The sequence below is a fragment of the Homo sapiens genome, chromosome 10 (assembly GCF_000001405.40).
Source record: "Homo sapiens chromosome 10, GRCh38.p14 Primary Assembly".
Classification (NCBI taxonomy): domain Eukaryota; kingdom Metazoa; phylum Chordata; class Mammalia; order Primates; family Hominidae; genus Homo; species Homo sapiens.
The window spans coordinates 91305890-91327977 of NC_000010.11; the positions used below are offsets into that span (position 1 = coordinate 91305890).

At 43.2% G+C, this 22088-nt stretch overlaps 1 long non-coding RNA gene across 1 annotated transcript in view; it reads right to left on the minus strand.

The window, feature by feature from the left end:
• Nucleotides 1–1072: 1072 nt before the first annotated feature.
• The window catches only part of HECTD2-AS1 (HECTD2 antisense RNA 1), a 304499-nt gene continuing 283483 nt past the window's right edge, over nucleotides 1073–22088 (minus strand). The window contains exon 5 of the long non-coding RNA NR_024467.1: nucleotides 1073–1546. This is a non-coding gene — a long non-coding RNA (HECTD2 antisense RNA 1). The remainder of the gene's footprint in view (nucleotides 1547–22088) is intronic.

A 22088-nucleotide genomic window follows, 5' to 3' on the forward strand; every position in this document is an offset into this window, starting at 1 on the left:
AAGGCATTTAGGTTTTAGGTCAGGTGTGAGTTGAGGTTTTAAGTTCTTGAGAACACAGGCTAAGGGAGAAGAAGGAGGAATGGAGGGTGGAAGGTTGCCTATAGTGAAGGAGGCAAGCCCAGAGAAAAGAGAGAGTAGAGACATGGAGAGAAGGGGTTTGGGGATTCTTACCCCCCAGAAAAGCAGGAAAGGGGTTGGGGCATGGAAATAAGGGGTTGGGGTGCAGAGATAAGAGGTCAGGGTGTGGAAATAAAGGATCAGGGCACAGAGATAAGAGGTCGGGGCGTGGAAATAAGGAATCAGGGCACAGAGATAAGAGGTCGGGGTGCAGAAAAAAGGGATCGGGGTGCAGAGATAAGAGTTCGGGGCGTGGAAATAAGGGATCGGGGTGCAGAGATAAGAGGTTGGGGTGTGGAAATAAGGGATTGGGAGGTTCTTGCCCCCAGAAAAGCAGAGAAGGGGTACAGACATGGAGAGAAGGGGTTGGGGGGTTCTTGCCCCCTAGAAAAGCACTACTTGCCGCTAAGGGTGAAGGAGAAGGGGCTGGGAGGTTCTTGCCCCCCAGAAAAGAGGTACTTGCTGCTAAGGGTCAAGGACCAAGGCAGGCATCCCCTTGTGGTCAAACACCTCTGAAACGTGGGTGAATAATCAGGCAGGTGTCCCTGTGTGATTAAACACCAAGGGAAGACTGTCTTCCCGAGTCCATGACCGGCGCCAGAGTTTTGGGTCCATGGATAAAGTGCGTCTCCTGTCTCTACCAGAAAAGGAAAGGAACTGAAATTAAGAGAAGGGAGAGATTGAAGGGTGGCGCCAAGATTGAAAGGAGAAAGTGGCTGAGGGATAGTGAGATAGGTTGGAGAAGAGAGTAAGAAGAGGCTGCTTACCCAATTTAAAATTGGTAAGATGTTCCTTGGGCTGGTGGGTCTGAGGACCCGAGGTTGTAGGTGAATCTTTTTCACGGAGCAAAGAGCAGGAGGACAGGGGACTGATCTCCCAAGGGAGGTCCCCCAATCCAAGTCACGGCACCAAATTTCACTTGCATCCGTGTGAAGAGACCACCAAACAGGCTTTGTGTGAGCAATAAAGCTTTTAATCAACTGGTTGCAGGAGGGCTGAGTCTGAAAAGAAAGTCAGCAAAGGGAGATGGGGTGGGGCCATTTTATAAGATTTGGGAAGGTAAAGGAAAATTACAGTCAAAGGGGGTTGTTCTCTGGTGGGCAGGAGTGGGGGTCACAAGGTGCTCAGTGGGGGAGCTTTGGAGCCAGGATGAGCCAGGAGAAGGAATTTCACAAGATAATGTCATCAGTTAAGGCAGGAACAGGCCATTTTCACTTCTTTTGTGGTGGAATGTCGTCAGTTAAGGCAGGAACCGGCCATCTGGATGTGTACATGCAGGTCACAGGGGATATGATGGCTTAGCTTGGGCTCAGAGGCCTGACACTTTAGGGAATCCTTAATCCAGTCAAGTTTACATCTAAAGTGAACCATGACAACAGACAATGATGAAGTTGGTGGACATGTTTCCACTGACATGGAGTGATCCAGTCTGCAAGGAAAGAGAAGGAAGCTGGCAACACACACACAGCACAGGAGGAATGAGGGGAGCCTCCTCATGCACCTCAGTAACTTGGCTCTAGTTATTCGTGAAGCCCATCTGCATCCCCACTCTTTCCCATACTTGGTTTTTCAACATTTTCTTTTAGATTTTTGTGGCTCAAATCAATTCCCCTTTGAGATGAAGCTAATTGGGATTTGATTCTGTCACTTGTAACCATGGCCCTAACCAAAACAAGTGTTTGAACAGCTTTAGGGTGACTAAAATGAATACAAAGGGGGAAGTCCACCAATAGCTCTGACATTCTGGTTTCTGTCACCTCATGTCTTTCTTAAACACATGAATTTTACCAGATACCCTTTAAGGGTCAGTTTTGTAGTTTTTTGGCAAACTTTTAATTGAATGATAAGATACATATTTAAAAAACTGCACAATCATAACTTCTCACAAAATACACATACCTGTAAAACCAACACCCAGATTAAGAATCAGAACAGGCTGGGCATGATGGCTTATACCTGTAAGCACAGCATTTTGGGAAGCCAAGGTGGGAGGATCACTTGAGCCCACCCAGGAGTTCAAGATCAGCCTGGACAACATAGCAGGACCTCGTCTCTACTAAAAATAAAAATGAAAAATAGCTGGGCATGGTGATGCCTGCCATTAGTCCCAGCTACTCAGGAGGCTTAGGCAGGAGGATCACTGGAGCTCAGGAGGTTGAGGCTGCAGTGAGCCATGGTCATGCCACTCCACTCCAGCCTGAGTAACAGAGCAAGACCCTGTCTCAAAACAAAACAAAAAAACATAAAAGAATCAGAAGATATCTAGCAACCCTCCCAGTCAGTATCCCCTCACCTCAGGGTAGCCATGCTCCTGACTTCTGACATCATAGAACATTTTGCCTGTTTCTGAACTTTAAGGAATCATACAGGATGTTCTCTTTCATGTCTGGCTTCTTTCTCATTGGTAAGATGCATCCATGTTGTTGCATGGGGCTGTAGTCCATCCTTATTGCTGAGTAGTATCCCCAGCTTTGTATTTAAATGTTATTTTTCTTAAAGTAGGCTAGAAATCAATAATAGAAACATAGTAGAAGTAGCTATTTGTTCTCCTGATGATCTATTGATCCTGATGGTAAAATATCTAAATCATACAAGCTGCCTGGAACTTTGCAGAAGAGAGAAACTGATCTTATTAAGTTGGAGGCTTCATTGAGATTCTTCTTATGCTGCTCAGCTCAAGTGAGGGCACGGGCTGCTTCCTCCTTATGAAGTAGGAAAAACAAATGACCCACCTCCTGCCCTTGCGCAGAACAGAGCTTCTGAAAGAAAAGCATGCTGCAGCTGTCCTTAAAAGTGACCCTTTCAAAAAACTTAATCAGACTGCATATTGTTTATTTCAGCAAATAGCATTCAATGACTCTAAAGACAAATAATGCCTTACTGCAATTTGTACATAATTTTTGGAAAACAATACTATTCTAATTTTTACCAAGCAAGCAAACAGTAATTTATTCCCAGGGCTGTTCTAGTAGACCTTTCTTCACTTGCCTTGAGATACAGATTCTGAATATAAATTCCATCAACACCTGTAGTTTTTCTTCTTTACCCTCTGTAAGAATTAGAATGCAAATCACGAACCCCAATTCTTAGAAACCTACCACTTCTTATCAGCCAGAATTATATCCAGGTCCGTTGGAAAAATCAACCACTGGCAAAGGGAATGAGATTACCATACTTGGCATATAACAACAGTGTTTATCCCTAAAATGAGGAATACAGTCCCCTTGCCTGAGTGACTTTCAAACAAAACAATGGCTCTTCTGGCAAGGGAGACAGGGAGAAAGATTATTGGGCTAAAAACTACCCAACCATTATCTTCCACAGTCTACCTCTTTGACTTCCTAGCTTCCATACATTGTTCAAAAAGTGCTCATACTTCCACAAAATGCACATAGTCCTTCCAAGGGTGAAAAGAACCTAAAGTCTCATCAAGAAAAAAACAAGATAAACCCAATAAAACCTTTCATTCAGAAAAGTGACTGTCATCACTGATCCATAGCACATGTTATTTCCTGAAGGACATCAATAGCAAATACTAGTTCCATGACCCAGGAATCGAGTGAGTTTCTCTGTCAGCCCCATGGACGTCCCTAGTTCCACTCCACTGGAGCCTCCCTTGCCCATTGTCTTCCATGGCCATTTCTGGGGTAAGCGTTGAAGAAGATGCCCTCCTGGATGCTGCCAGATTTAACAGCTCACTTCCAGTAGATACAGATTCTATGGCCTCAGGACAATAGGGCTTGAATTGTTCCAGACTTTTATCAGTTTGAAATTCACTTCTGGTCAGGTCCAGGCACCGATAATGGCCAGTCATCTTGTCTGAACGAGGCCTGTGAGAGCCACAATCCCTCCTCCTCCCCACATGTCTCTATGATTTTCCCACCTTCAAGCACGAAGTTTAATGGCTTCCACCTTGAGGCAACTGGTAACAAAAGCCATGTGGTGGAAGAGGGTGTGAAGCAGGGGAGGGGTGATGTCACCTGTGACCCCAGCCCTCCTGGGTGCACCTAAGCTAGATAGTGCCTCCTGTCTTACAAAGGATGTGTGGTGAGGGATATTAAGGAGAGGCATGGGGAATCAGATTTGCTTTTGTCCCAATTTTATCAGTCATATCTCCGGAGAAATTTCTTTTTTCTCTACCTTTTGGGAGGTGAGTAGGAGAAGGATATCAATTTTGTACAAAATTGGGATTTGCAAGCTTGAAAATCTCCAAACTATGGCCTTCAAATCGATTTAGATTCTAGGTTATGGGCAGGAGGAGTCTGTATTAGCAAAACTCAACTGTCTTCCCTTTCTGCATTCAGGCATGTCACTTTTCACCTAAACTTGCCTCTTAGACTATCCCTTTCTCAAAGGCTTCAAGCAATAACGAGCATGTGCCAATATCCCCAATTTTCCTACCAATACCTCTAACCCTACAGTGTCTATAGGCACAAGAGCAGAGTCCCAAAGTCCAACTTGTGACAAAATAACCAAAAGCTACAGACTCAGAAATTTTGAAATATGGCTTTTACTGTTATAAAATACATAAGAGCTACATTTAGAGAGAAATGAAGGAGTTGACCACCAGCTGAAGTCAGGAACTATCACACCCAGTTTCACATTTTCTCTATTATATACATGTGTAAACTCCAGTTTCCCTCTGCCTACATCACCTTTCCAGAAATTCTTTTAGGATCTACAGGGAAGGGAGGCTCTTTTCCTCATAAGTAAACATACTTTTAAAAAGAGATTTGAATATGTATTTTGAAAACAAGATGAATCACAGCAAACAATATAAAATATAAATCTGAAAATAGATCAGGATATACAGCTTACACGGGGAGGATCATATCATTTTGATGAGAAGAACTAAAGGGAATACAGCATTGAAAATGTCTTTGTCTGGCTAGGCATGGTGGCTCATTCCTGTAATCCTAGCACTTTGGGAGGCCAAGGTGTATCACCTGAGGTCAGGGGTTCGAGACCAGCCTGGCCAACATGGCAAAACCCCGTCTCTACTAAAAATACAAAAATTAGCTGGGCATGGTGGCACATGCTTGTAATCCCAGCTACTCAGGAGGCTGAGGCAGGAGAATCACTTGAACCCGGGAGGCAGAGGTTGCAGTGAGCCGAAACCATTCCACTGCACTCCAGCCTGGGCAACAGAGTGAGACTCCATCTCCAAAAAAAAAAAAAAAAAAAAAGAAGATGTCTTTGTTCATTGAGATTTTTAACTTTTAAAAAACATAATATGAAGTTCTGTTCATTAGGGACAGTGCCAGTTAAAGTTTGGTTTAAGGCAGTAGCTTGTCTTCAGTTTTCCATTAATAGCCAATTGATTTTCCTCTATGACACTGGGAGAAAATATGAGGAAGGGTTCACCATTGATCCTTCTGATCTCTGCACTCTTATTCAAAGTCAAAATTCTAATCTGGCAACATGCTGCACAAACACCAGCACTAACACCAGCATCTGGGGCTTCACTATGTGGTTCTGATGGTATAATTCTCACCATGTGTAGGTTTGATGATATCTAAGCCATATCAACTTCCCTCCCAGAAAGGAGTACTCCCATTTAGTTTTGAGTTGAATGTTAATCAATTCCCTTTATACAAGTTCAGCATAGTTGAACAAAACAGAACCATGTTCCAAAACCAAGGTTGATGCAATATATCATGCTCACCAATTTATCCCTATTAGTACATTCCTGACACATGGCCAGTGCTCAATAACTACTTACTGCATAGATGAATACATGAAAAAGACATGGCCACTGAGCAGCTCAGACAGCCTTGGCTTTGAATATTTTGCTGGTCACATTAAGTTATTTGCAGTTTACTGACAAGGAACACATGGGGAAGCCAGATGTTTGTAATTTTGAAATAGTTTATAGTTTCATTAGACTTTGAGTCTTGCTTGTCAAATAGCATTTATTAATATCCACTTTCTCCCAGGCAGAGCTCTAGGCATAAGGCAGAAAGTTAAAAATTCCAGAATAAATCTCTTTCTACATTTTTCTTCCTCCACTTCAAATACCTGATTCTAAGCCAGGTGTCTGTGAGATCCAGCCCCCAAACACTGCAATGACTGACTCCAATGAGGCTCCTTAAAAGCTGCCTTTCCTTTCTCCTCCCTCCAATCTCAGAAATAACCACTGCCTTCCAATTCCTATAACATTGTTCTTAGCACTCATATAGTAGCTATTATTGCAAGTTGCACACATGGAGATAGAATTACTAAAAACACATGGCTTTCTGTCTTTCTGTGCTGTGTCATGAGTTTGTTGGAGGGAGACACCCATTTATAAATAACACACATTTGTCAAATCAATGAATAAACAACAGAGATGCATCTTTCCTTCTCTTTAACTGAGAATTTAAAGGTAAAAAATGTATACTGGATAAAGTTCCTTTCTTCAGTACTGGACAAATAAGGGAAAAGACAGGGAAAATCTACTATTTAGCTAGAAAAGCGGCAAAGGGGAAAAGTCTTATCTCTGGGCTCAGTCATCTGGGAGAATGCACATAGTAAGTGAAATTCTTTGATAAGCTTCTCATCGAGACAGGTCAACTATATGTTTTCCCCTTGACTTCTGGCCTATCTTGTGACTCAGCTGTAGCCAATGGAAAGCAATGGAAGTGATGTGGCATAACTTCTGAGGCTGTCAGCAAAGGCCATGCTGCTTCTACCTGATTCTCTTAGGGTGCTCAATCTAGGAGAGCCTGCCTCTGCCACCATCTAAGAACTTGGACTATCCTAGGACCATGGGATTGCTGTGCTGGAGGTGCCATGTGTTTGTGGGCCTCTGGTCAACAGTCCCAGCTGAACCAGTCAACAGCCAGTGTTGGGCACAATGGCTCATGCTGTGATACCAACACTCTGAGAGGCTGTCATGATGGGTATCACTTGAGATCAGGAGTTTAAGACTGACCTGGTCAACATGGCAGAACCCCATCTCTACAAAAAATTAAAGTTAAAAAGCAAAAAAAAAAAAAAAAAAAACCCAGCCAGTGTCAACTATCAGCCATGTGCATGAGCCACCTTGGACATCCAGCTCAGTCAAACCTTCAGGTGACTGCAACCCCAGCCAATATCTGACTGCAACCACATGAGAGACAGTGAGAACTGTCAAACTGTTTCTAAACCTGACTCTCAAAATACAATAATTGTCTTAAGCTGCTAAATAATGGGGACATTCACTACACATTAATAATAACTGGACCAATTGCCTCTGGGTATTACCACTGTAGAAAAACCCTGAATTTTTCTTCTCTACTCTTGAATGGGGCTGTTGAGCCCTTTGTCAATTTTCAGACCAAGCATATACAAAGACATACAAGCATAGGACCATTCATCAGTGAGTGTCTTACTCCATAAATGAAAACAGGCTGGGCGCAGTGGCTCACACCTATAATCCCAGCACTTTGGGAGGCCGAGGTGGATGGATTACCTGAGGTCAGGAGTTCAAGACCAGCCTGGCCAACATGGGGAACACTGTCTCTACTAAAAATACAAAATTAGCTGGGCATGGTGGCACATGCCAGTAATCCCAGCTACTTGGGAGGATGAGGCAGGAGAATCACTTGCACCTGGGAGGTGGAGGTTGCAGTGAACTGAGATCGCGCCATTGAACTCCAGCCTGGACAAGAGTGAGACTCCAACTCAGAAAAAAAAAAAAAAAAGAACAAAAAACTTTCAGAGCCTGCACATGTAGCATCCATCAGAATGTAAATTAAAATCATAAAAGCTTTCTGGAATGAAAGCAGCCTCTGCTTAATTAAGGCAAGCAGTGTAACACCTGTTAAGATGAGCGTCATGAGGATAATTATTAGAGGCTTCTACAAAGTGATGTTTCTTAGTTACTGAACAAAGACTTGGTTACTAGAAAGGCTCAGAAACTATTCTCCTCTGAGAGGAAATGAGGGAGTAAACATTCACAGAAACAACTTGTGATTGAAGCTAGCTCTGCCCCCACGTAGGGGAGCAAGGCTGACTTCATGTTGTACATCCCCGTGACTAATCTCTGACAATCAGTCTAAACTACAAATGTTCTCCAGCCAAGGCAACAGTAGGAAACTTTTCCATATGGCCAAATCTTTCCACAGTCAGTATGGTTTGCAGGATTTGTAAATTAGACCTTTCACTTGCACAAAAGGAAATAATTGTACATGTGACCATTTGTTCTTCCTTGCTTTGTACTCCTTTCCATTGGAAATGTGCCCCATCCACGTGTGGCTGTCCTTCAGCGTAATGAAGAGCCTTCTAGAGGCTGTCTCCTTCCTTGCAGACCCTGCTCTTTTCTGTTCAGCCCTCAGCACTCCCCACATGTGGGAAGGAGTGGGCTGGCCTTCGGGGTAGTTCAAAGAGCTGAGCTGCATCACATCTCATCTTTCCTCACAGCCTGGCAGGCCAGGACCAGGGCAGCTCATGTCTAAGCACACACAGGCAAGGATCTGATTATTAGGAGTGACTTCTTCTAAGTATACCTCTAGCTCTACTTGGGACTGAGAACTGAGAACTGTACACCAATTCTTGGAAGCCCCCTGCTTGAGCGATCTTGTTGGAAAGATCCCTTAGAAATCCAGAAACGCAGTGTATTGCAAACTATGCTTAGAAAAGCCATAGGAACACAACTCAGGGTTGCCACAGAGAAGGAAGGGTGGGGAAATGAGATGAGTGGAACTCTGAGACCCCACCCACACAACAACCCAAAGCATCTTATCTGTTTCCTGTTTCTCATGATGGATTTGAAATCTTTTATTTGTAGAAATTGTTTGGAAACTGCTGCAAATTTTGAAATCAGAAGGCTGTGCACTTAAATTCCAGCTCCGCCCCTTATTGATATTCACTGAATGTCCCTGGCCCCAAATCTTCTGCAAAATGGGGATAGCAATGTAAAACTCACAGGCATAGTGAAGATTAAATGAGATGATGTGATCAGAGAGCCTGGCACATAGTAGTTGCTCAATAAATGATAAAAGTTGGGGATTTAAAGGTTCAGTAATATGGCTCTCTTTTTCTCTGCCCAAGTTCAGAATTGGTTAAGAAAGAGACTCAGAAATAACACAGATGAAGCCCTAAAGGAGCAATCTAGTTGGAGAATGAGGTTTAGCTATATGGCAACAGAGGGCTTTCTAATATTGCACCCCAGAATTAAACTCACCAGCTCAATCACAAGCAGAACTGGAAATCTGTAGGCCTGCAGAAGAGATGGGGACTCCCTTGTAAAATTTACAACATGGAAAATGTCCCTGCAGAAAGGCAGATCCCAAATAAATAAGGATGAAGAGAATGAGTTACACCTACTCAGTTACTCAAACTCACTAACAGATAAGTCACTCAGGCAACTTATGAGCCATCATGTACAATTGCACATGTTCACCGTACAATTATAGATAGTGTCATTTATTATGTGCTTTGACTTGCCTTCTAACAATAAATCTAGAAGTTTCCACAGGTCACAGCCAGCAATTCCATTGCTTTCTCAAAATTTTGTTATCTAGCAAGGGAAAAGTAAAGCATCTATTGGAAAAGGATTCCAGGAGGAATATTCACCACAACGAGTCTTGGCCATCCCTTTACAAATAATTTTCAAAAAGATAGATACATGTGAAATGACAAATGGGTTAATTAATCTCATTATACTGAAAATGGACAACATGATCCATTGCCTGAGAAACATGAATATATAAAAGCTACAGGTTATCACTGGTTTCTTCAACTGGGATGGCTGCTCCACGGCTTGACAACATGCTGTGTCATGTGACATAAGCCCTGTCACATATCTGTGTAATCTTTAGTATAATTTTCCCAGGGTGCTTATTCGTTATTGTTAGTGATATCAGTTGGTGCATTTAACTTCTGTAGTCATACAGAAGTTGCTCTCTGCCCCCTGACTCAGAGTATTTCTATCCACCCCCAGGGTATATCTTGCTTGGAATCTATGCAGACAAAAGAGGCATTTTCAATAACTCCACAGCTTCTTTCAACATAAACTATCTTGGGAGAGTACCAACAACTCAACCTAATGTCACAGTGCTTTATATATATATATATATATATATATATATATATATATATATATCTCCTACTGAGATGAAAATGTCAACTCTGTGTGAAGATAGGCATTTACCTGTATCTCTGAAAACACTCAGTTTAACTAGCATTGACACTAACTGCAAGTTGCCAGAAATACTTGGAAAAGGGACAAAGAGTGTTTAGTTAATTTTGCTCTGGTTCTGTTTCACCCCCTTTTCCTAGCTTTCTGTTGGAGAGGTTTTGCCATATTTGGTTACAAGAAATGGAGAAGGGAATGGTATTATTCGTGGGATACCAGTGATAGGAAACAACAGTAAGTTAGCTGGAAAAACATCAAGGCCTCAATAGAAATATGAGTATTTCTGGGAGCAAAGGTTTGAAAGATTTGATGGTGGTTCTCTGTAACTATGGAATTTCTCTGAATTTCTGTCTCTAAAAACTCCATGGATTTGAATAAAAAGCCCAATACAGTGGAAATAACAATAGCTAACATTTGTTGAGCTTTTACTGAGTGAAGTGTGCTAAGCACTCTAATTTTGTTCTTTCACTTAATCCTTATTACACCACTGTGAAATCAGTACTATTATAATCTTCATTTTGTAGAGGAGGAAACAAAAGAGATTAAGCAATCTGCCACAAGGACACACAGCTGGTAAGTACCAGCGATATGCTTGGATTCAGGAATCTTGACTCCCGAGGTTGTGAGAATATGAAGAAAGTATTGTTGCTCTTGAAAGGATTCAAACAAATATAGCTTGTGTTTATGTTCTCTATAGAAAAGCCATTCTGGGTTCAACTGGTATTGAGGGGTTTAACCAAAAACAGAACTCTTCAGAAAACTATCTTCTTATTACTATAAACAAAGGCCTCCCCAGTTTATAAAATAAAACAGATTAGAAATGTATATCCTCGGGAGGCTGAGGCACATTCATCACTTGAATCTGGAAGGCGGAGGTTGGAGTGAGCTGAGCTGAGATTGCACCACTGCACTCCAGCTTGGGCAACAGTGCGAGACTCAGTCTCAAAAACAAACAAACAAACAAAAAATTGGAAATGTGTATCCAGGTAAGGAGCTCTGTGAAAGAAAATTGCTTCTGCCTGGGGGCATGCAATGGATTATGAACAACAGCAAAAGAGCCTCTGCTTTGCTGTAATGAAAATGGCTCATTCCTGGGCATCTTTCACAATTCAAAGTTGGGAAGATATTTTACACAATCAAGACTGGGGTAAACCCCTGGTCTCCATTAAAAATTAAAATGCCCATGGGTCATGGTGATAATCCAATTCTTAATAGTCTTCATACTGCTATAAATGAAGAATTTAATAATAGATAAATAAAATAGGGCTTTCAGTAAATTTTTATGAAAAATAAACCAAAAATGAGGAATGCTCTTGAGAAGCTCAAGACAAAAATTTCTTAACACATTTTAATTAGGGCTGTTTATCTTCCAAAGAAACTGGGATGCTGTGATGAGAAAGCCTATTGGAATCATTGCAAATTGCACTGCATTGATTTTCTGGCTCAGTTTGAAAGGCAGTAATACCTTTTTAAAAATCAAACAAGATTTGGGATCATCATTATCCAGAGGTTCAACTGATTGGCAGCTTTTGGTACCCTGGATACAGGCTTTCTAAATAAGCCTCAAGGGTTTGGAAATTGCCCATTACTTCATCAGAAACAATCTTCCATATGAGGTTAGGGGATGATGGGAAATTGGCATTGTAAACAATATAAGAAGTATTTTGTGGTCAACTCAAACCTATGGTATTGCCTCATGTGCTGGAACAGAATGAAATTCTGTTCATTAAGACAAAAAACAATCCTAGGGCTAAAAGGAACTTAGAAAGAATTCTCTCTTTGACTCAACTAAAATCAAGACTGGACAACCCAAGGGCTACCTATGGAGCTAATTCTATATATTATGCATCAATACCAGTCATACGATTATCACTCAAAACTCATTGAACTGTGCAGCACAATGCTAAGGAGTGGGGGTATAAAGAGGAACATACTTGGTTCCTACATCAAGGAGCTCACAGTACAATTGAGGACACAGGGCACATCCATATCAAGATAGATCATGATTCAAACTAGCATTTGACAGCTGATACGTAATGGTACACAAAAAATACTTTAGTGCTTTAGATGAGAGAAATCCTGGGACTAGAGAAGCAACTAGGTCTCTAAGCACATGTAAGGATTCTGGGAAAGAGGAGAGAAAAAAATCTTTCACAGTCTAGATGCTCCATCTTGAATTTGGTTAAAAGTGCATTCATAATTCAAGATTCATTCATGAGAATTTATTGGGCTTTATACTAATGATTTCTGCATATATGTTATACTTCAATAAAACTTCAATTAAAAAAATTTTAAGAAATATACATTTGTAAAATAGTTTAAACAGATAGATACAGATCAAGATAGAGATCATATGTATTACACGTAATATATGTGTATATAATATATGATATGTGTATATATTACATAAATGAGATCAAAACTAGTTATTTTTAGTGGACATTATACTTTTCCTGACACTGAATGAACGTGGGGCTTTGGCTGGGGCTCATAACCAACCCACATTCATGGGATCTTCTTCAAAAGTGAAATACAGAGTCCATGTCATATGTGGGAGCTAAAACAGTTGAAATCATAGAAGTAGAGAATGGAGTTATGGTTATTAGAGGCTGGGAAGAGGAGGGGGAGGGAAGGATAGTAATAAGTTGGTTAAAAAATTACAGCTAGATTGGGAGGCTGTGGTGGGTGGATCACCTGTGGTCAGGAGTTCAAGACCAGTCTGGCCAACATGGTAAAACCCCATCTCTACTAAAAATACAAAAATTAGCCAGGTGTGGTGGCAGGCACCTGTAATCTCAGCTACTTAGGAGGCTGACACAGGAGAATCGCTTGAACCCAGGAGGTAGAGGTTGCAGTGAGCCAAGATCATGCCACTGCACTCCAGCCTAGGTGACAGAGCAAGACTCCATCTCAAAAAAAAAAAAAAATTACAGCTAGATAGCAGGAATAAGTTCTAGTGTTCTACAGCACAGTGGAATGAATACAGTTAACATTAATTTATTGTATATTTTTATATAGCTGGAAGAGGATTTTCAGTATTCCCAACACAAAGAAATAATAAATGTTTGAAGTGATAGATATCCTAATTACCCTGTTTTGATCATTACACACGTAGATATGTATCAAAATATCACTGTACCCCATAAATATTTACAATTAAGTGCCAATTAAAACTAAAAGTTAAAAAAAGGGCAAAAAAATATGTAGAATCCAAGGGCAGACCTGAAAACAGCAGAAGTTTGAGAAACAAAGGCAAAGAGGAGGCAGACCTCTGGAATCTTGGAGAATGTGGTTTTCCTAGCAAGGGGCTTTCCCAGGAAAGATGCCCAGGCTGGAGTTCTGTTTGGGGTGTGAATGGATGCTGGGAGCATGAAGGCTGAAGAATCAGAGCTTCACAACACAGCTGGCTTGCATTGTTCCTCTCCTCGCCCACAGTGGGGAAACTCATCTGCCCTCAGGCCGATGTACAATCAGTAGCTTCTTTACCTCCATCATGGCTTCCACTGACAGCTGAGAAGTGCTCTGCAAGCCTTCCCAGAGGCCCACACATACAAGGGGAAGGCCTTCCTGTTTCTTGCAGTGCCAGAACTTGTATTGTTTGTGGGTAGGGTCGCAAGATTTCGCAAAGACAAACAAACAGCAACAACAACAACATAAACCTAGAATGCCCCAATTAATTTGAATTACAGATAAATAACAAACAAAATTTTAGTATAAGCATATTCCATCAAATATTGGGGACATACATATACTAGAATATTATTTGCTTTTATCTGAAATTCCATTTTAACTGGTATTTTGCCTGAAACTCCTGCATGTGGTATACTTGGGTCTACACATACCTCTCCAGGGATTAGAGTTTGCTTCCTACCCCCAAGTTATACAGAAAGAGCAATTGTGTTCTCAAAGTTCCAAAACTTAACCAAATTTTGGAACTTGCTTTATGTTTTTTCTCATTTTTTTTTTATTATTATACTTTAAGTTTTAGGGTACATGTGCACATTGTGCAGGTTAGTTACGTATGTATACATGTGCCATGCTGGTGCACTGCACCCACTAACTCGTCATCTAGCATTAGGTATATCTCCCAATGCTATCCCTCCCCTCCCCCACCCCACAACAGTCCCCAACAGTCCTGTGTCCATGTGTTCTCATTGTTCAATTCCCACCTATGAGTGAGAATATGCGGTGTTTGGTTTTTTGTTCTTGCGATAGTTTACTGAGAAAGATGATTTCCAATTTCATCCATGTCCCTACAAAGGACATGAACTCATCATTTTTTATGGCTGCATAGTATTCCATGGTGTATATGTGCCACATTTTCTTAATCCAGTCTATCATTGTTGAATATTTCGGTTGGTTCCAACTCTTTGCTATTGTGAATAGTGCCGCAATAAACATACGTGTGCATGTGTCTTTATAGCAGCATGATTTATATTCCTTTGGGTATGTACCCAGTAATGGGATGGCTGGATCAAATGGTATTTCTAGTTCTAGATCCCTGAGGAATCGCCATACTGACTTCCACAATGGTTGAACTAGTTTACAGTCCCACCAAAAGTGTAAAAGTGTTCCTATTTCTCCACATCCTCTCCAGCACCTGTTGTTTCCTGACTTTTTAATGATTGCCATCCTAACTGGTGTGAGATGATATCTCATTGTGGTTTTGATTTGCATTTCTCTGATGGCCAGTGATGGTGAGCATTTTTTCATGTGTTTTTTGACTGCATAAATGTCTTCTTTTGAGAAGTGTCTGTTCATATCCTTCACCCACTTTTTGATGGGATTGTTTGTTTCTTTCTTCTAAATTTGTTTGAGTTCATTGTAGATTCTGGGTATTAGCCCTTTGTCAGATGAGTAGGGTTGCGAAAATTTTCTCCCATTTTGTGGGTTGCCTGTTCACTCTGATGGTAGTTTCTTTTGCCTTGCAGAAGCTCTTTAGTTTAATTAGATCCCATTTGTCAATTTTGGCTTTTGTTGCCATTGCTTTTGGTGTTTTAGACATGAAGTCCTTGCCCATGCCTATGTCCTGAATGGTAATGCCTAGGTTTTCTTCTAGGGTTTTTATGGTTTTAGGTCTAACATTTAAGTCTTTAATCCATCTTGAATTGATTTTTGTATAAGGTGTAAGGAAGGGATCCAGTTTCAGCTTTCTACCTATGGCTAGCCAGTTTTCCCAGCACCATTTATTAAATAGGGAATCCTTTCCCCATTGCTTGTTTTTCTCAGGTTTGTCAAAGATCAGATAGTTGTAGATATACGGTGTTATTTCTGAGGGCTCTGTTCTGTTCCATTGGTCTATATCTCTGTTTTGGTACCAGTACCATGCTGTTTTGGTTACTGTAGCCTTGTAGTATAGTTTGAAGTCAGGTAGCGTGATGCCTCCAGCTTTGTTCTTTTGGCTTAGGATTGACTTGGCAATGCGGGCTCTTTTTTGTTTCCATATGAACTTTAAAGTAGTTTTTTCCAATTCTGTGAAGAAAGTCATTGGTAGCTTGATGGTGATGGCATTGAATCTATAAATTACCTTGGGCAGTATGGCCATTTTCACAATATTGATTCTTCCTACCCATGAGCATGGAATGTTCTTCCATTTGTTTGTATCCTCTTTTATTTCATTGAGCAGTGGTTTGTAGTTCTCCTTGAAGAGGTCCTTCACGTCCCTTGTAAGGTGGATTCCTAGGTATTTTATTCTCTTTGAAGCAATTGTGAATGGGAGTTCACTCATGATTTGGCTCTCTGTTTGTCTGTCATTGGTGTATAAGAATGCTTGTGATTTTTGTACATTGATTTTGTATCCTGAGACTTTGCTGAAGTTGCTTATCAGCTTAAGGAGATTTTGGGCTGAGACAATGGGGTTTTCTAGATATTCAATCATGTCGTCTGCAAACAGGGACAATTTGATTTCCTCTTTTCCTAATTGAATACCCTTTATTTCCTTCTCCTGCCTAATTACCCTAGCCAGAACTTCCAACACTATGTTGAATAGGAGTGGTGAGAGAGGGCATCCCTGTCTTGTGCCAGTTTTCAAAGGGAATTCTTCCAGGTTTTGCCCATTCAGTATGATATTGGCTGTGGGTTTGTCATAGATAGCTCTTATTATTTTGAAATACGTCCCATCAATACCTAATTTATTGAGAGTTTTTAGCATGAAGGGTTGTTGAATTTTGTCAAAGGCCTTTTTGCATCTATTGAGATAATCATGTGGGTTTTGTCTTTGGTTCTGTTTATATGATAGATTACATTTATTGATTTGCATTTATTGAACCAGCCTTGCATCCCAGGGATGAAGCCCACTTGATTATGGTGGAGAAGCTTTTTGATGTGCTGCTGGATTCGGTTTGCCAGTATTTTATTGAGGATTTTTGCATCAATGTTCATCAAGGATATTTGTCTAAAATTCTCTTTTTTTTTTTTTTTTAATTGATCATTCTTGGGTGTTTCTCACAGAGGGGGATTTGGCAGGGTCATAGGACAATAGTGGAGGGAAGGTCAGCAGATAAACAAGTGAACAAAGGTCTCTGGTTTTCCTAGGCAGAGTGTTTGTGTCCCTGAGTACTTGAGATTAGGGAGTGGTGATGACTCTTAACGAGCATGCTGCCTTCAAGCATCTGTTTAACAAAGCACATCTTGCACCGCCCTTAATCCATTTAACCCTGGGTGGACACAGCACATGTTTCAGAGAGCACAGGGTTGGGGGTAAGGTCATAGATCAACAGGATCCCAAGGCAGAAGAATTTTTCTTAGTACAGAACAAAATGAAAAGTCTCCCATGTCTACTTCTTTCTACACAGACACAGCAACCATCCAATTTCTCAATCTTTTCCCCACCTTTCCCCCTTTTCTATTCCACAAAACCGCCATTGTCATCATGGCCCGTTCTCAATGAGCTGTTGGGTACACCTCCCAGACGGGGTGGTGGCCGGGCAGAGGGGCTCCTCACTTCCTAGTAGGGGGGGCCGGGCAGAGGCGCCCCTCACCTCCCAGACGGGGCGGCTGGCCGGGTGGGGGGCTGACCCCCCCACCTCCCTCCCGGACGGGGTGGCTGGCCGGGCAGGGGGCTGACCCCCCCACCTCCCTCCCGGAGGGGGCGGCTGGCCGGGCGGGTGGCTGACTCCCCCACCTCCCTCCCAGACGGGGCGGCTGGCTGGGCAGAGGGGCTCCTCACTTCCCAGTAGGGGCGGCCGGGCAGATGCGCCCCTCACCTCCCGGACGGGGCGGCTGGCCGGGCGGGGGGCTGACCCCCCACCTCCCTCCCGGACGGGGCGGCTGGCCTGGCGGGGGCTGACCCCCACCTCCCTCCCGGACAGGGTGGCTGCCAGGTGGAGACACTCCTCACTTCCCAGACGGGGTGGCAGCCAGGCGGAGGGGCTCCTCACTTCTCAGATGGGGCGGCTGCCGGGCGGAGGGGCTCCTCACTTCTCAGACGGGGCAGTTGTCAGGCGGAGGGTCTCTTCACTTCTCAGACGGGGCGGCTGGGCAGAGACGCTCCTCACCTCCCAGACGGGGTCGCGGCTGGGCCGAGGCGCTCCTCACATCCCAGACGGGGCGGCGGGGCAGAGGCGCTCCCCACATCAAAGATGATGGGTGGCCGGGCAGAGACCCTCCTCACTTCCTAGATGGGATGGCGGCCGGGAAGAGGCGCTCCTCACTTCCTAGGTGGGATGGCGGCCGGGCAGAGACGCTCCTCACTTTCCAGACTGGGCAGCCAGGCAGGGGGGCCCCTCGCATCCCAGACGATGGGCGGCCAGGCAGAGACGCTCCTCACTTCCAGACGGGGTGGCGGCCGGGCAGAGGCTGCAATCTCGGCACTTTGGGGGGCCAAGGCAGGCAGCTGGGAGGTGGAGGTTGTAGCGAGGTGAGATCACGCCACTGCACTCCAGCCTGGGCACCATTGAGCACTGAGTTAACGAGACTCCGTCTGCAATCCCGGCACCTCGGGAGGCCGAGGCTGGCGGATCACTCGCGGTTAGGAGCTGGAGACCAGCCCGGCCAACCCAGCGAAATATGGAGACCAGTCAGGCATGGCGGCACGCGCCTGCAATCGCAGGCACTCGGCAGGCTGAGGCAGGAGAATCAGGCAGGGAGTTTGCAGTGAGGAGAGATGGCAGCAGTATACTCCAGCTTCGGCTCAGCATCAGAGGGAGACTGTGGAAAGAGAGGGAGACCGAGAGGGGGAGGGGGAGGGGGAGGGGGAGGTAAAATTCTCTTTTTTGTTGTGTCTCTGCCCGGCTTTGGTGTCAGGATGATGCTGGCCTCATAAAATGAGTTAGGGAGGATTCCCTCTTTTTCTATTGATTGGAATAGTTTCAGAAGGAATGATACCAGTTCCTCCTTGTACCTCTGGTAGAATTCGGCTGTGAATCCATCTGGTCCTGGACTCTTTTTGGTTGGTAAGCTATTGATTATTGCCTCAATTTCAGCTCCTGTTATTGGTCTATTCAGAGATTCAACTCCTTCCTGGTTTAGTCTTGGCAGAGTGTATGTGTCAAGGAATTTATCCATTTCTTCTAGATTTTCTAGTTTATTTGTGTAGAGGTGTTTATAGTAATCTCTGATGGTAGTTTGTATTTCTGTGGGATTGGTGGTGATATCCCCTTTATCATTTTTTATTGCATCTGTTTGATTCTTCTCTCTTTTTTTCTTTATTAGTCTTGCTATCAGTCTATCAATTTTGTTGATCCTTTCAAAAAACCAGCTCCTGGATTCATTAGTTTTTTGAAGGGTTTTCTGTGTCTCTATTTCCTTCAGTTCTGCTCTGATTTTAGTTATTTCTTGCCTTCTGCTAGCTTTTGAATGTGTTTGCTCTTGTTTTTCTAGTTCTTTTAATTGTGATGTTAGGGTGTCAATTTTGGATCTTTCCTGCTTTCTCTTGTGGACATTTAGTGCTATAAATTTCCCTCTACACACTGTTTTGAATGTGTCCCAGAGATTCTGGTATGTTGTGTCTTTGTTCTCGTTGGTTTCAAAGAACATCTTTATTTCTGCCTTCATTTTGTTATGTCCCCAGTAGTCATTCAGGAGCAGGTTGTTCAGTTTCCATGTAATTGAGCGGTTTTGAGTGAGTTTCTTAATCCTGAGTTCTAGTTTGATTGCACTGTGGTCTGAGAGATAGTTTGTTATAATTTCTGTTCTTTTACATTTACTGAGGAGAGCTTTACTTCCAACTATGTGGTCAATTTTGGAATAGGTGTTGTGTGGTGCTGAAAAAAATGTATAATCTGTTGATTTGGGGTGGAGAGTTCTGTAGATGTCTATTAGGTCCGCTTGGTGCAGAGCTGAGTTCAATTCCTGGATATCCTTGTTAACGTTCTGTCTCATTGAGCTGTCTAATGTTGACAGTGGGGTGTTAAATTCTCCCATTATTAACTTGTGGGAGTCTAAGTCTCTTTGTAGGTCACTCAGGACTTGCTTTATGAATCTGGGTGCTCCTGTATTGGGTGCATATATATTTAGGATAGTTAGCTCTTCTTGTTGAATTGATCCCTTTACCATTATGTAATGGCCTTCTTTGTCTCTTTTGATCTTTGTTGATTTAAAGTCTGTTTTATCAGAGACTAGGATTGCAACCCCTGCCTTTTTTTGTTTTCCATTTGCTTGGTAGATCTTCCTCCATCCTTTTATTTTGAGCCTATGTGTGTCCCTGCATGTGAGATGGGTTTCCTGAATACAGCACACTGATGGGTCTTGACTCTTTATCCAATTTGCCAGTCTGTGTCTTTTAATTGGAGCATTTAGTCCATTTACATTTAAAGTTAATATTGTTATGTGTGAATTTGATCCTGTCATTATGATGTTAGCTGTTTATTTTGCTCATTAGTTGATGCAGTTTCTTCCTAGTCTCGATGGTCTTTACATTTTGGCATGATTTTGCAGCGGCTGGTACCGGTTGTGCCTTTCCATGTTTAGTGCTTCCTTCAGGAGCTCTTTTAGAGCAGGCCTGGTGGTGACAAAATCTCTCAGCATTTGCTTGTCTGTAAAGGATTTTATTTCTCCTTCACTTATGAAGCTTAGTTTGGCTGGATATGAGATTCTGCACTGAAAATTCTTTCTTTAAGAATGTTGAATATTGGCCCCCACTCTCTTCTGGCTTGTAGAGTTTCTGCTGAGAGATCCGCTGTTAGTCTGATGGGCTTCCCTTTGTGGGTAACCCGACCTTTCTCTCTGGCTTCCCTTAACATTTTTTCCTTCATTTCAACTTTGGTGAATCTGACAATTATGTGTCTTGGAGTTGCTCTTCTCGAGGAGTATCTTTGTGGCGTTCTCTGTATTTCCTGAATCTGAATGTTGGCCTGCCTTGCTAGATTGGGGAAGTTCTCCTGGATAATATCCTGCAGAGTGTTTTCCAACTTGGTTCCATTCTCCCTGTCACTTTCAGGTACACCAATCAGACATAGATTTGGTCTTTTCACATAGTCCCATATTTCTTGGAGGCTTTGTTCGTTTCTTTTTATTCTTTTTTCTCTAAACTTCCCTTCTTGCTTCATTTCATTCATTTCATCTTCCATCACTGATACCCTTTCTTCCAGTTGATCCCATCGGCTCCTGAGGCTTCTGCATTCTTCACGTAGTTCTCAAGCCTTGGCTTTCAGCTCCATCAGCTCCTTTAAGCACTTCTCTGTATTGGTTATTCTAGTTATACATTTGTCTAAATTTTGTTCAAAGTTTTTAACTTCTTTGCCTTTGGTTTGAATTTCCTCCTGTAGCTCATAATTTGATAGTCTGAAGCCTGCTTCTCTCAGCTCGTCAAAGTCATTCTCCGTCCAGCTTTGTTCCATTGCTGTTGAGGAACTGCATTCCTTTGGAGGAGGACAGGTGCTCTACTTTTTAGAGTTTCCAGTTTTTCTGCTCTGTTTTTTCCCCATCTTTGTGGTTTTATCTACTTTTGGTCTTTGATGATGGTGATGTACAGATGGGTTTTTGGTGTGGATGTCCTTTCTGTTTGTTAGTTTCCTTCTAACACACAGGACCCTCAGCTGCAGGTCTGTTGGAGTTTGCTAGAGGTCCACTCCAGACTCTGTTTGCCTGAGTATCCACAGCGGTGTTTGCAGAACAGTGGTTTTTCATGAACCGCGAATGCTGCTGTCTGATCGTTCCTCTGGAAGTTTTGTCTCAGAGGAGTACCCAGCCGTGTGAAGTGTCAGTCTGCCCCTACTGGGGGGTGCCTCCCAGTTAGGCTGCTCAGGGTTCAGGGGTCAGTGACACACTTGAGGAGGCAGTCTGCCTGTTCTCAGATCTCCAGCTGTGTGCTGGGAGAACCACTGCTCTCTTCAAAGCTGTCAGACAGGGACATTTAAGTCTGCAGAGGTTACTGCTGTCTTTTTGTTTGTCTGTGCCCTGCCCCCAGAGGTGGAGCCTACAGAGGCAGGCAGGCCTCCTTGAGCTGTGGTGGGCTCCATCCAGTTCGAGCTTCCTGGCTGCTTTGTTTACCTAAGCAAGCCTGGGCAATGGCGGGCGCCCCTCCCCCAACCTTGCTGCCACCTTGCAGTTTGATCTCAGACTGCTGTGCTAGCAATCAGCGAGACTCCATGGGCATAGGACCCTCCGAGCCATGTGCGGGATATAATCTCCTGGTGCGCCGTTTTTTAAGCCCATTGGAAAAGCGCAGTATTCGGGTGGGAGTGACCCGATTTTCCAGGTGCCGTCTGTCACCCTTTTCTTTGACTAGGAAAGGGAACTCCCTGACCCCTTGCACTTCCCGAGTGAGGCAATGCCTCACCCTGCTTCGGCTCACGCACAGTGCGCTGCACCCACTGACCTGCGCCCACTGTCTGGAACTCCCTAGTGAGATGAACCCAGTACCTCAGATAGAAATGCAGAAATCACCCGCCTTCTGTGTCGCTCACGCTGGTAGCTGTAGACCGGAGCTGTT